Genomic DNA, 13076 nt, shown 5'->3' with positions numbered 1-13076 from the left:
CCTTTTTGTAGATCAAGGAAGCCTTTCCCCGAAAGGCCTCCAGCAAGACTTCTCCTCTAGCTTCTTGGCCACAGTTTCCCAAATTTCCTTTACTAAATGAATCTTTGCCAAGGGTAATGAAATATCTTATTACTTATCCAGTATCACCTCTGGTACTCTGAAGGGGGCCCTGCCTCTTGGCTGCACAACATAGGGACAAAACTTGGCGGGGAGGGGTCTCTTAGTAAATACAGGGAGGGGAGATTAGCTTTTGGGTAAGCAACTCACAGTGTCTGCCACGTGTACACTGCATTGATTTGCTTCTAATAATTTTTTTTTAAGCAAGGTGGAAAGTTTGTTTTGTTTCATAATATTGTGCCTAATGTTTCTAATGACAGTTAAGTAAACCCACTCCTGACCGTGCACGGAGGCTTAGGCCTGTAATCCCAGCACTTTTGGAGGCCAAGGCAGGCGGATCACTTGAGGTCAGGAGTTCAAGACCAGCCTGGCCAACATGGTGAAACCCTGTCTCTATTAAAAATACAAAAATTAGCCCGGCATGGTGGCAGGCACCTGTAATCCCAGCTACTCAGGAGGCTGAGGTGGGAGAATCGCTTGAACCAGGGAAGCAGAGGTTGCAGTGAGCCAAGATTGCACCATTGCACTCCAGCCTGGGCATTGCAGTGAGGCTCCATCTCAAAAAACCCACTCCTTTAAGTAGAAAACTTCAGAGTGGAAGTATAAATTTCCCATTTTTGGAAGTGACCCATACTTAGTTACTTCTTTGTACAATCAGGGATGCCTCATATGGTGGTGCAATTCAGAGTCTATGTGAGTAGTGCCCTGGAGTTGTTCATGGCTCTGTGCCAAAGCAATGGAGGGGCAAATGTTAGATTTCGTTTATATTTATATTCTCACTAGTTTCATGGAAACCTGAATTTCTAGTAAGAATAAATCAAACCATCATTATGTAGATGAAGTCATTCTCAACTATTGAGGTGGCAGAGGGTGGAGAAGAGGTGGAGTGGACAGATGGAACAAATATGCGCCTTTTATACAGAATATAAGAAAATGTGTCCTGTTTTTTTCCCGCAGATAATTATAATAAAATCATCTTAAGTTGTTAAAATTCTGATTCACAAAATCTTTCACTGGGTTAGAAAATATTTATATTTACACATATAATGGAAATAATATATGTAATGTAGTCCAATATTAAGAGCTTAGCCAAATTCAGTATTAATGTTCTACTGTACTTTATATTTTGTTAGTGTTTTTATTTGCCTAGGTTATGGGCCAATTTGTATGCCAATGCTAAAGTATGCTCAATTACAAAAGCAATAACATGGAAATTTTTATTTCAGTTAAATAAACTAATTCATTGTTTAAAATCAGTATTACTGTGTTTCACACATAAACATGCATTTTTACCCATAGGTGCACTTACCTACAAATGACCAAATGAATCCAGCCCAAATTCAGAGAACAACAGGAACATTAAAAATCAGTTTTGGCCAGGCACAGTGGCTCACACCTGTAATCCCAGTACTTTGGGAGGCTGAGGTGGGCTGATCACCTTAGGTCAGGAGTTCAAGACCAGCCTGACTAACATGGTGAAACCCTGTCTGTACTAAAAATACAAAAATTAGCCAGACGTAGTGGCGGGCACCTGTAATCCCAGCTACTCGGGAGGCTGAGGCAGGAGAATCGCTTGAACCCAGGAGGTGGAGGTTACAGTGAACTGAAATCCTGCCATTGCACTCCAGCCTGGGCAACAGAGCAAGACTCCATCTAAAAAAAAAAAGAAAATCAGTTTCAGTGCCAACATGTTTTGGAAAGGGGAGTTAGTTAAGCAGTTAGGTGTCAAGTTCGTCTAACAAAACAGGACAAAGAGAACATTGAAAGAAATGGAAAATGCCAAAATGCCCATCTTTCTAAAGGCCACCTTTTCCCCAAGGCTGGCCTGGATTTCCTATAGGTGGATGTCATCTCTTCCTTCTCCAGTGTTATTTCTATCTATGTGTTTTATCTTTTCCAGTAGACCTCAAGATCCCTGAGGGCAAGATCTCTTTTTGGTTCATTTATGTATCTCTCATTGAGCTGGGTGCTTTGTCTTTGGTATAGTTAGCACACATTCATTTACAGCAATGAACAGATTTACAAGGTCCTTCCTTTCATAGGGAAGAAGACAGTAAACCTGAAACGAGTAAATTATCAGGATAGGCTGGGCGCGGTGGCTCACGCCTGTAATCCCAGCACTTTGGGAGGCCGAGGCGGGCGGATCACGAGGTCAGGAGATCGAGACCATCCTGGCTAACACGGTGAAACCCCGTCTCTACTAAAAATACAAAAAATTAGCCGGGCGTGGTGGCGGGCGCCTGTAGTCCCAGCTACTCGGGAGGCTGAGGCAGGAGAATGGCGTGAACCCGGGAGGCGGAGCTTGCAGTGAGCCGAGATCGCGCCACTGCACTCCAGCCTGGGCGACAGAGCGAGACTCCGTCTCAAAAAAAAAAAAAAAAAAAAAAAATTATCAGGATAATTTCAGGTAGTTGGCCGGGCATGATGGCTCATGCCAAGGCGGGTGGATCACTTGAACCCAGGAGTTTGAGACCAACCTAGGCAAGATGGCAAAACCCCGTCTCTACAAAAAATACAAAAATTAGCCAGGCGTGGTGGCCCATGCCTATGGTCCCAGCTACTCAGGAGGCTGAGGTGGGAGGATCACCTGAGCCATGGGAGGTCGAGGCTGCAGTGAGGTGTGATCGGGCCGCTCCACTTCAGCCTGGGTGACAGAGTGAAACCCCATCTCAAAAAAAAAAAAAAAAGATAATTTCTGGTAGTAATAAATATAAATAAAATAGAATATGAAACAGAATAAGTGTAAGTGATTGGGTGGTTAAAAGTAGACACAGGCTTCATTAGATGGAGGACTTAGAGAGAGGGCTTCAGGGAAAGTAACAGTTGTGATGAGACCTGAATGACAAGGAAAAGTGAGCCATATGAAGATACAAGTCCAGCACGTTCCAGACCTACACGAAGAACTTAGGTAGGCCTTTGTCTGAGTGAATGTAAGGAACAGAAAGAGTGCTGGAGTGGGGTTATGGAGGAGAGAAGGTAGGAAATGAAATCAGAGAGGTAGGCCAGATACATAAAGCTTTTAGGTCAAAGTAAGGAATTTGGAACTTATTCTGAGCACAGAAGTTTTAAAGAGAGGAATGACATAATCTGGTTTACATTTTAGGTCTGATTGCTATGATTCTGATTGCTATGTTGAAAAGGATGGGTGGGGGTGACAGTGGAAACAGAGAAGGCAGATAGAAACCCAGAATGAGAACCCAATGAGAGATGACAGTAGCTTGGACCAGGGTAGAAATAATGCAGATGAAAATTTGTTGAAGGCACTGTGGTAACCAGAAATTATAGCTTTAATTTTCTAGACTGATCATAGCTAAAGAAACATACATTACAATTGTACTTAATAAGGAATTTTGTGGAGTGTAATTGTTTTGTTGAAATGTCCTGTCCCAGTGAGATAACGAGGAGGACAATAGAAAGTAAAAAGTTAGGGAAAGTTCTTAATTAAGTTTAAATTTATACAGGTTCTTTGTTTTATTATGTTTATTCAGAAGAGCTTCCAGAGAGATGTAATGTTAATTTCAAGGTTTTTGTTTAATCTCTTAAGAAAGTAACATCCAGTCAAAGCACATGGATGACTTAAAGTTTTTGAAACAACATTTATTCTATAGAATGTGTTATATGAAGTAGAATTTGTTTCTTAAATTATAAACTAACTCGCAAGCCTAGTTTTTTAAAACAGCTCTGACACCATATAAAATCATTTAGGTTATTTGACTAGTTAGAAAACTTCAAATTTTTGAGTCTTATTTTCCCATTGCAGACTGGAAGCCAATAGTGCCTGTGGCAGATTCCAATAGAAAGCACAAACTGAGGCTCCTTTACTTCAACAGAAGGAAAATTCTCATTTACTTGGCTAAACTTAGGTGTAGTGCTTCCAAACACACACTCCCAAAATTTCACAGTAAATATGATTGGAAAAACACCACATGAGCTTAAAGTAAACACACGCCATTCAAAGACAGGATACTGTGGTCTTTCTTACACTAACAACTACTGACTTAACAATGGTTCCACGTATGATTTTTCAACTTTACAGTGATGCAAAAGGACTATGCATTCAGTAGAAACCATAATTCAAGTACCATCCAACCATTATATTTTTCACTTTCAGTACAGTATTCAATAAATTACATGAAATATTCAATGCTTTATTGTAAAATAGGCTCTGTGTAAGATGATTTTGCCCAACTGTGGGCTAATATAACTGTTCTGAGCATGTTTAAGATAGGGTATGCTAAGCTTATGATGTTTGTTAGGTTCAGTGTATTAAATGCATTTTCAGCTTACCATATTTTCAACTTACAATGGGTTTAACCAGGATGTAACCCCATCACAAGTCAAAGAGCATCTGTACTTAAAAAGGAACCAAAGTAAGGTCTATACTGAATTGGCCTTCATTCAAAAATAAAGAGTAATCCAAAAGAAAACACACATGTGCCCAACAGCTATGTGAAAAAATGCACAACATCATTAATCATCAGAGAAGTGCAAATTAAAATCACAATGAGGTATCACCTCACACCTGTCAGAATGGCTATTATCGAAAAGATGAGGCTGGGTGCAGTGGCTCATGCCCATAATCCCAGCACTTTCAGAGGCCGAGGTCAGAGGATCACTTGAGCCCAGGAGTTCAAGACCAGCCTGGCAACGTAGTTAGATCTTGTCCCTACAAAAAACAATTTTAAAAATTAGCCAGGCATGGTGGCATGAGCCTGCGGTCCCAGCTACTCAGGAGGCTGAGGTGGGAGGATCACTTGAGCCCAAGAGGTCAAGGCTGCAGTGAGCCATGATTGTGCCACTGCACTCCAGTGTAGGAGACAGAGCGAGATCCTATCTAAAAAAAAAAAAAAAAAAAAAAAAAGAAAGGTAATAAGCGTTGGTGGTGAGGATATAAAGAAAACCCTTGTATACTGTTGATAGGAATGTAAATTAGTATAGCCACTATGGAGAACAGTATGGAGGTTCCTCAAAAAAAAAACAAAAAATAGAATTACCATTTGATACCATATGATCCAGCAATCCCACTTCTGAGTGTATATCCAAAGGATTTGAAATATCTGCACTCATGTTTATTACAGCAATGTTCACAATAGTCAAGATGTGGAATCAACCTAAGTGTTCATCAGTAGATGAATGGATAAAGAAAATATGGTGTATAGATAGATAGATAGATAGATAGATAGATAGATAGATAGATAATGAGTTAATACTATTCAGCCTTAAAAAAAAGATGGAAATTCTGTCCTTTGTGACAACATGGACGAACCTGTAGAACATTATACTAAGTGAAATAAGCCAGGCACAGAAAAACAAATACCACATGTTCTCATTTATATGTGGAATATAAAACAATCAAACTCATAGAGTCAGAAAGCAGAATGATGTTTACCAAAGTCTGGGGGGTGGGGAGAATGGGGAGATGTTGGTCAAATGATACACTGTTTCAGTTAGGCGGGACATAAATTATAAGTATTTGAGGTGATGGATATGTTAATTAGGTTGATTCAATCATTCCAGTGTGTGTGGCTGTGTGTGTGTGTTATATACATATTATATATATACATATCATAACATCACTTTATACCCCATAAATATATACAATTATAACTTGTCAAAATTCAATAATCTCTTTTAATAGAAAGTGATCTTTCTGGGTTTGGGATGAGGGAGGGAGACGAATTTCAGTCCAGAATCAGGGCAACATTCTAGGTAACATGGGTTCTGATGAGGTGCTTCTATGCTTAGAACCCAAAATTAATCTTAGCGGATTTAAATATACATTAACTGTCCAGCCACAGTCTGATAGGCACAACTTGGACAAAGAAAGTGACAGAGTATATCAACAGCAAGCCTTCAGAACCATTCATACAAATGATACATGGTTAATTTTCAAGTTTGCCTTTTCAGCCTTGGTGTGTTTGAGAATGTTTAAGAGTTAAGAGATTGAAATTTTCAAGTTGCAAGCTGCTATGGACTGAATTGCATCCTCCCCAGATTCATATGTCAAAAGCCCTGATCTCCAATGTGGAAATAGGTTTTTTGGGAGGTTATTAAGATTAAATTAGCTGATAAGGGTGGAGCTCTAATCTCATCTCTTCCCCCACTCTCTTCCTCCCACCATGAGAGGGCACAGAGAAAAAGTCAGCTGTCTACAAGCCAGGAAGACAGCCATCACCAGAAACTGGCGACGCTGCCGCCCTGATCTCAGACTTCCAGCCTCCAAAACTGTGAGAAAATAAATTTCTGTCATGTCAGCCATTTAGTCCATGGTATTTTGTTATGGCAGCCTGAGCTGACTAAGACATAAGTAGTTAGAGTGATCCTTTCCAAAAAATGAGTGAGATCTTGTCTGTCTTTGCTTAACACTGCATTGTGTTACCATTTCACTCTGAGTAAAAGCCTTTGTTCCTACAGTGACCAACAGGCCCTACCTGATGTGGACCATTTTCATCCCCAGCCATTATCCATGTATCTCTCTAATTTCATTCATTACTGCCCCCTATTCTCCCACCTGACTCCAGCCCAACTATCCTGGCCTTCTTATAATTCATGCTATATGCAGGTATGCTTCTGCCTAAGCTCTCCCTCTGCCTGGAGTGCTCTTCCCCCAGATATCTGCATGGCCGATTCCCTCACCTCCAAGTCTTTGGTCAGATGTCACTTCTCCATGGCCTGTACTCTGACCTTCCTATTTCAAAATGCAACATTTTCCCAACCCCTAACCCTCCTTATACAGCCCTCTCTAGCTTTTCTTTTCTTTGTCCACAGCATTTAACCCTTTCTAATATACTATACAATTTATGTGTTACATCTATTATTTTGTCTGCTTCTACTCTAGAATGTAAGTTTCAAGAGGGAAGGAATCTCTGTGTTTTGTTCACCGGTTTGTTCCTGATGTCTAGAAGAGTGCCTAGATCATAGAAGGATCTCAATAAATACTTGTTTACCCAAGTACTTTCAGACATTTTAGCTATACTAGGTAATTGAAACTTCATGATTTTAAATAATTCAATCTATAATCATCCTATGAGGTAATCATTATATGCCTACTTGTAGTGGGTCAGAAAGCTTAATATAGTCACTCACAGGTTTCTCAACATTAAGTGTGAATCAAAACTTGCATTCAAATATTTATGCTCCACATCTAGCTTTCTTTCCTATATCATGGTAGTCATTTTAAGACATTTCATAGTGGAACAAAACGTTAAAATACCCAGGTTAAGAAACAGTGATCACCATTACAACTGCATCAAAATGGTTACAATTAAAAGGACTGACCCTATTAAGTGTTAGCAAAAAATGTAGACTTGGGAAATCCCATACACTGCTAATAAGAATGTAACATGGTTCAACCACTTTGGTAAACTGGTAGATTCTACTAAAGTTAGCATATGTGTACTCTATGACCCATCAGTTCTATTCCTGGGTATATATCCAACAACAATGAATACGTATATCCTCCAAAAGATCTATACAAGAATTATTCATAATAGCCTGAACCTGGAAGCAATCCAAGTGTTCATTATGACTAGAATGGTTAAATAAATCTTGGGATATTCTTACGATAGTATATACTATACCGCACAGCAAGGTAAGAAAAAACTAATCTGCACGTAATAAAATGGATAAATATCCCAGCACTTTGGGAGGCCAAGGCAGGCAGATCACTTGAGCCCAAGAATTCAAAACCAGACTGAGCAACATGGTAAAACCCCATCTCTACAAAAATAGAAAAAATTTGCCGGGCATGGTGGGGCATGCCTGTAGTCTCAGCTACTTGAGAGGATGAGATGGCCGGATCACCTGAGCCCAGGAGGTTGAGGCTCCAGTGAGCCATGATCACACTACTGCACTCCAGCCTAGACTACAGAGTGAGACCCTGTCTCAAAACAAAGCAAAACAAAAAGATAACTATCACAGGCATAATTTTTAAGCAAAAGAAACCTGACACAAAGATCACTATGTGATTCCATGGATATGAATTTCAAGAATGGGCAAAACTAATATATGGTGATTGAGGTCAGAGTAATGGTTTCCTTTGAGGGAGTATTGACTGAAGGGGGCACAAGGGACCTTCCTAGGGTTCTGACAGTGTTTTATATCTGATCTGGGTGTGTTTTACAGAGGTATAAACATATGTGGAAATTAATCTGATTGTACACTTAAGATTATACATTGTACTATGTAAGATATATATGTAGATATATATATCAATGGAGAGAGTTTTTAAAATGAATAGTATTTATCGATGAGGAAATAATGGATTAAATGGTTACAGAACCCTGGTTAGCCATGAAAAAAAATGTTGATCCTTGGGTTAGCCATGAAAAAAAATGTTGATCCTTGATTCGTACCATATTCCTTACTTAAAAATAAATTTCACTTGATCAAATATTTAAATATAAAAAACCCAAACAGTACTAGAAAAAAGATGCTAAAATTAGTTCGTAATATTGGAGGAAGGCAGTCTTTCTGGTCAAGACACAGAACACAGGATAATCTTAAGAAAAGTTTATTAAATTTGATTACAAAAAATTTAAATGTATATATTACCAAATAATTACCATAAACAAAGTTTAAAAATAAATGACATACCTTTTATTTCTTGGACCTATGAAATAAATAAGTAAAAATGACAATCTTGGAACAAATATTTATAATATTGTTGACAGAGGCAATTTTCTTCTTATACAAGGAACACTTATAAATCAATAAGCAAGCAAAACAAAATAAATAATCCAGTGGAAAAACAGGCTAAATGTGATTATAGAAAAAAACGGATTTTAAACATATAAAAAACATCAGCCTCATTTTTAAATAATAATAAAATTCCATTTTTTACCTAACAGATTAGCAAGGATCAAAAAGTTTGATAATATGTTGCTGAGATGAGACTATAAATTAGTATAGTTCTTTGGTGGGCAACATGCCAGCATTAAAATTTTTAAATTTTCAGTGCAGTTTCACTACTAGGAATTTTCAAAGACATATACTAGCATGCACATTGTAGCACTGCATGTAGTAGAGAATGTCTAGAATAGAGGCTGGTTAAATGAATTGTGATGTATACATTCAACAGACTATTATGCAGGATGAAGTAGAGCTTCACATGCTGATGTGGAAAGATTACATAAAATATATTTTAAAGGTATAGAATTTTTTGCTCCTATTTGGAATAAAAAGGGGAAAATAGTGGATATACATATTTGCATGTACATGCCCATGTTCCTCTGAAGGATATATAAGAACTGATGGCTGTAGTTGTCTCTGGGCAATGTGACTAGGAGACTGAAAAGGAGAAATGTTTTTTCACAAAATGCCCTTTGCACTGTGAATTATTAGTAGTAGTATTAGTAGTAGTATTTTCACTAAGTGTATATACATTACATGAAACTGAAAACATTATGTTCGAGAAAGAGTGGGGACGTGGAGTGAAAGGGAGGAGTTGGGGGAGAGGGAAGAGCAAGTGGTAGAGGAAAAAGAAAAATAATCAAGACCTCCACTTCTACATGTCCCCGCATCACCTAGCCCTGTGTCTTACAGATGGTGTGCTGAATAAATAAAACTCTCTACTAGTCTCGAATCTCGTCCAAGCCTTAGTTCAATGTTTTTAACGTAGATTAACCTTTTAAAACCAGACTATTTCGGGTATGAGACACTCAGGCTAGGGAATTTTCTGTTTCTTAAAGGTAGTTTATGCTGGTAAGATATTAGAGTTTACCTCATGTTATTAGCTTTAGAGAAGATGAAGGATAAATCAACAGTGATGGAAAAACATGATCACACCAAAGCAGCATGCTACCTGTCTGAAGCTAAAAATGGACCTGTTAAATTTACTAGAACAAGACCTATTAGCAGAAATTCCATCATTGTTGGTTTTTGGAGAGATTTGGGGTTCAACTGATTTCTAGGTTTCAGGTGGCTTGCAGAGGAGGTTCTAGCCCATGTTTATCTTGATCTAGGACGTTAATCTGTATCAAAAGGAAGTTGTTTTAACGTGAATCTTAACAAAGTTTTACAGAATATTAATAGAGGAACAACTAATATAAATAGGAAGTAAGACTTGGGAAATTAGCAGGAATTCAGTTTTGAATGTATATGTCAAGTTAGTGGATTTTTAAAGGTTTGGTAAAAATAAACATGAGGAAAATACTCGCCTATCGTGAATAAGATTCCTTCTAGTCGTAAGAGTAGAAAAACAAGAGTACAAAACAATTGACATATAGAATTGTTGAAGTTTAGAAACAACAATGGAGTTATACTTTTTATAACCAAAATTATAACCTTTCCTAGTTGCAGAAGTAGTGTGCAGCGAATGCAGCATAGTTGAACAAGGGACAAGCTTGTTTAAGGGGCCAAAATTCCCAGTTCTAGAAGAATGTGATGCCCAGACCTTTGGGGACGTTATACTCCCTGTACTCAGCTAAACCGAAAGCATGCTATTGCTGCTTCCATCACCACCAGAGCAGAAACAAATACTGCGGAAGCATTGTGACCTGTAGAGGCAGATTATCCCACCTTCTTTCAGTTTTCATGTCATCCCTTAGAGGCAGAAATGCATTCTCTTGATTTCTTTTCATGGATCTCGGCAAAATGCTTATGTAACAGCTTGGCCTTTTCACAAAAATTAAGCTCTGTGCTAGGACAAGTTGCTAGTTGTATAAATAATTCTAAACTGTGAAACCCCAAAATATATTATTTTAAAGGTCTTGAGTGTTCGTTCGGATTATAAATTGTGACATTTATGCAGAAACAAATCTGGATTGAATCCAGGGATATCCAGTGTGCCTGGAGCAGAGAGGTCTATGGAGAGAGAAGGTCATAGAAAGGATTATGAAAAGAAGGTTGGAAGAGACTTGGACTATATTTGGTAATTATGGAATGCACTGGTGCATTATAGAATAGAATAATATAATAATCAAAGTAGTGCTTTTAGACCGTGAAAGATATGAGAAATTGAAGGAGAAGAAATCATTTTAAAATAAATTGTATATGTAATGAATAATGTCAGAAAAGCATTACAAATTGTTACCAGTAGTTGAGTAATTATCTCTTGAGCAATAGAATTATCACTGTTTTGTGTTTATCTGTGTTGTCTACTTTCATTGAGAATGTATGACTTTGTGTTGCTTTGCTTTAAAGAAGCCCTAAATTAGGTAAACATTTATTTTATAATTGAAAAATTCAAACAAATACAAGAGAAAAGAATAAAATGAACCCATACATCTGTCAACCAGATTAAGCAATTACCAAGATTTTGCTGTATTTTCTCTCTCTCTCCTTTTTCTTTCTTTCTTTTTGTTTCTTTACCAATGTCTTGCCCCTGTTCATTCCTGCACCTTGCTTTTCAGCACAGCAAGATGTCCCATACTCCTCTTAATTTCCTGCCACAGCCCTGAAATCAGTCCATCTTTCAAGGTGCTCTGTGTCCTTTCAGTGGGTTGAAAATTGTTTTAAGAAACAGAGGTATAAGCTGACAGAAATTTTATACAGAGGTGATTCCTGAACAATTATGGGTGTTATCCTCCTCAGAGTTGTAGAGAGAATAATTAAAATAGCGTAAAATAAATAAGAGTAAATTCACTTTAATAAACATACTAAAATGAATCTGTTTTTAAAACAAAACATTTGTCAGCATTAAAAACTTACCCTGTAGGTAACCCTGCTGCTGAGTTGATTTCTTCAATTTAAGAAATATTTCGCTTCTTTGTCATCTTTTGAATAAAAATTTTAAGCCTGCTCTTGCCGGATAAAATCTAGCATCTTTTAAACAAGCACCTTCATTTCATTTTCATAACTCTTAGCAAAATGCTAAGTAACATCTAATACCTTCTCCTTACTGTTTAGAACAGTTTTCATTCTCTAGTTTAGCCTAAACAGATAAAGCCCAATCCTGTCACCACCCTGGTCTCGGACTTCCAGTCTCCATAACTATAAAAATTAACGTCTGTTTAAGGTGACCAGTGTATGGTATTTTGTTATAGCAGCCAGAGCTCACTAAGACAATGTATAAACATATATGTTTAAATAGTAATAGCTAAAGCATGAGAAGTATTTACCATGTGCCAGGTGCTATTCTTAAATCCTGTACATATATTAACATTTATAATCCTGAAAAAAAAAACTATGACGCAGGCACCGATTACCTTAATTTTTATAAATAAGGACACTGAGGAATAAAGAGTGAATAAATAGGAAGCCCAAGACCAGTCATCTATGACATGACACAGTCAGAATTTGAATCCAGGCAATCTGGCATCAAACTTGCTCAGGGCTCTTTTTTCTCCCTAACAAATAGAAAAACCCTGAATCTCAAAACCACTGCTACAGAGAAATTACTGTTCAAGAGTGAAATACCAGAGTCCTTCATTTTAAAAGCAAAAACAAAACAACAAAACAAAACAAAAGAACAAGGTGCTCACTATCACCATTGTATTGTCAGGCTAACCCAATCATTCAGTTAACAGTTGTATAGTTTTTACTCAGGAAAGAACTAAAACATGTTTATTGTTTACAGGTGCAGTTTTCACATTGCATTATGTAAGCTCCATGTGGGCAGGAACAATATTTTCATCTTTGTATCTCAATCATTCCTTGCAGATAGGAGGTAAATAACAAATAAAATGAATACTTTTTGAATGAATTAAAGTTGATAAAGCACTGGATTTTGAAAGTCATGCATATTGCATCATGATACCTGTGTGCAGATGACCACATGTTGTCTAAATTTGGACACTTAAAATTTTTTTTTGTTTTTGTTATTGTTCCTCAAATTCCTTTTTACCAAAATCTGGACACAAATGAAAGAGGATACTAGTACTAATTAAACCAGGATAACAACCCTTCTTATTTGAACAGTTTTGCTGCATAAACCAGAACTGAACAAAATAACTGAGTCCCAAGGTAAGGTAATGTGTGAAGGTGTTATTGTACCATATTTTTAAAAAATGTTATGCTAT

This window comes from Homo sapiens, chromosome 1 (genome assembly GCF_000001405.40).
Source record: "Homo sapiens chromosome 1, GRCh38.p14 Primary Assembly".
NCBI lineage: Eukaryota > Metazoa > Chordata > Mammalia > Primates > Hominidae > Homo > Homo sapiens.
This window is presented reverse-complemented; position numbering follows the sequence as displayed.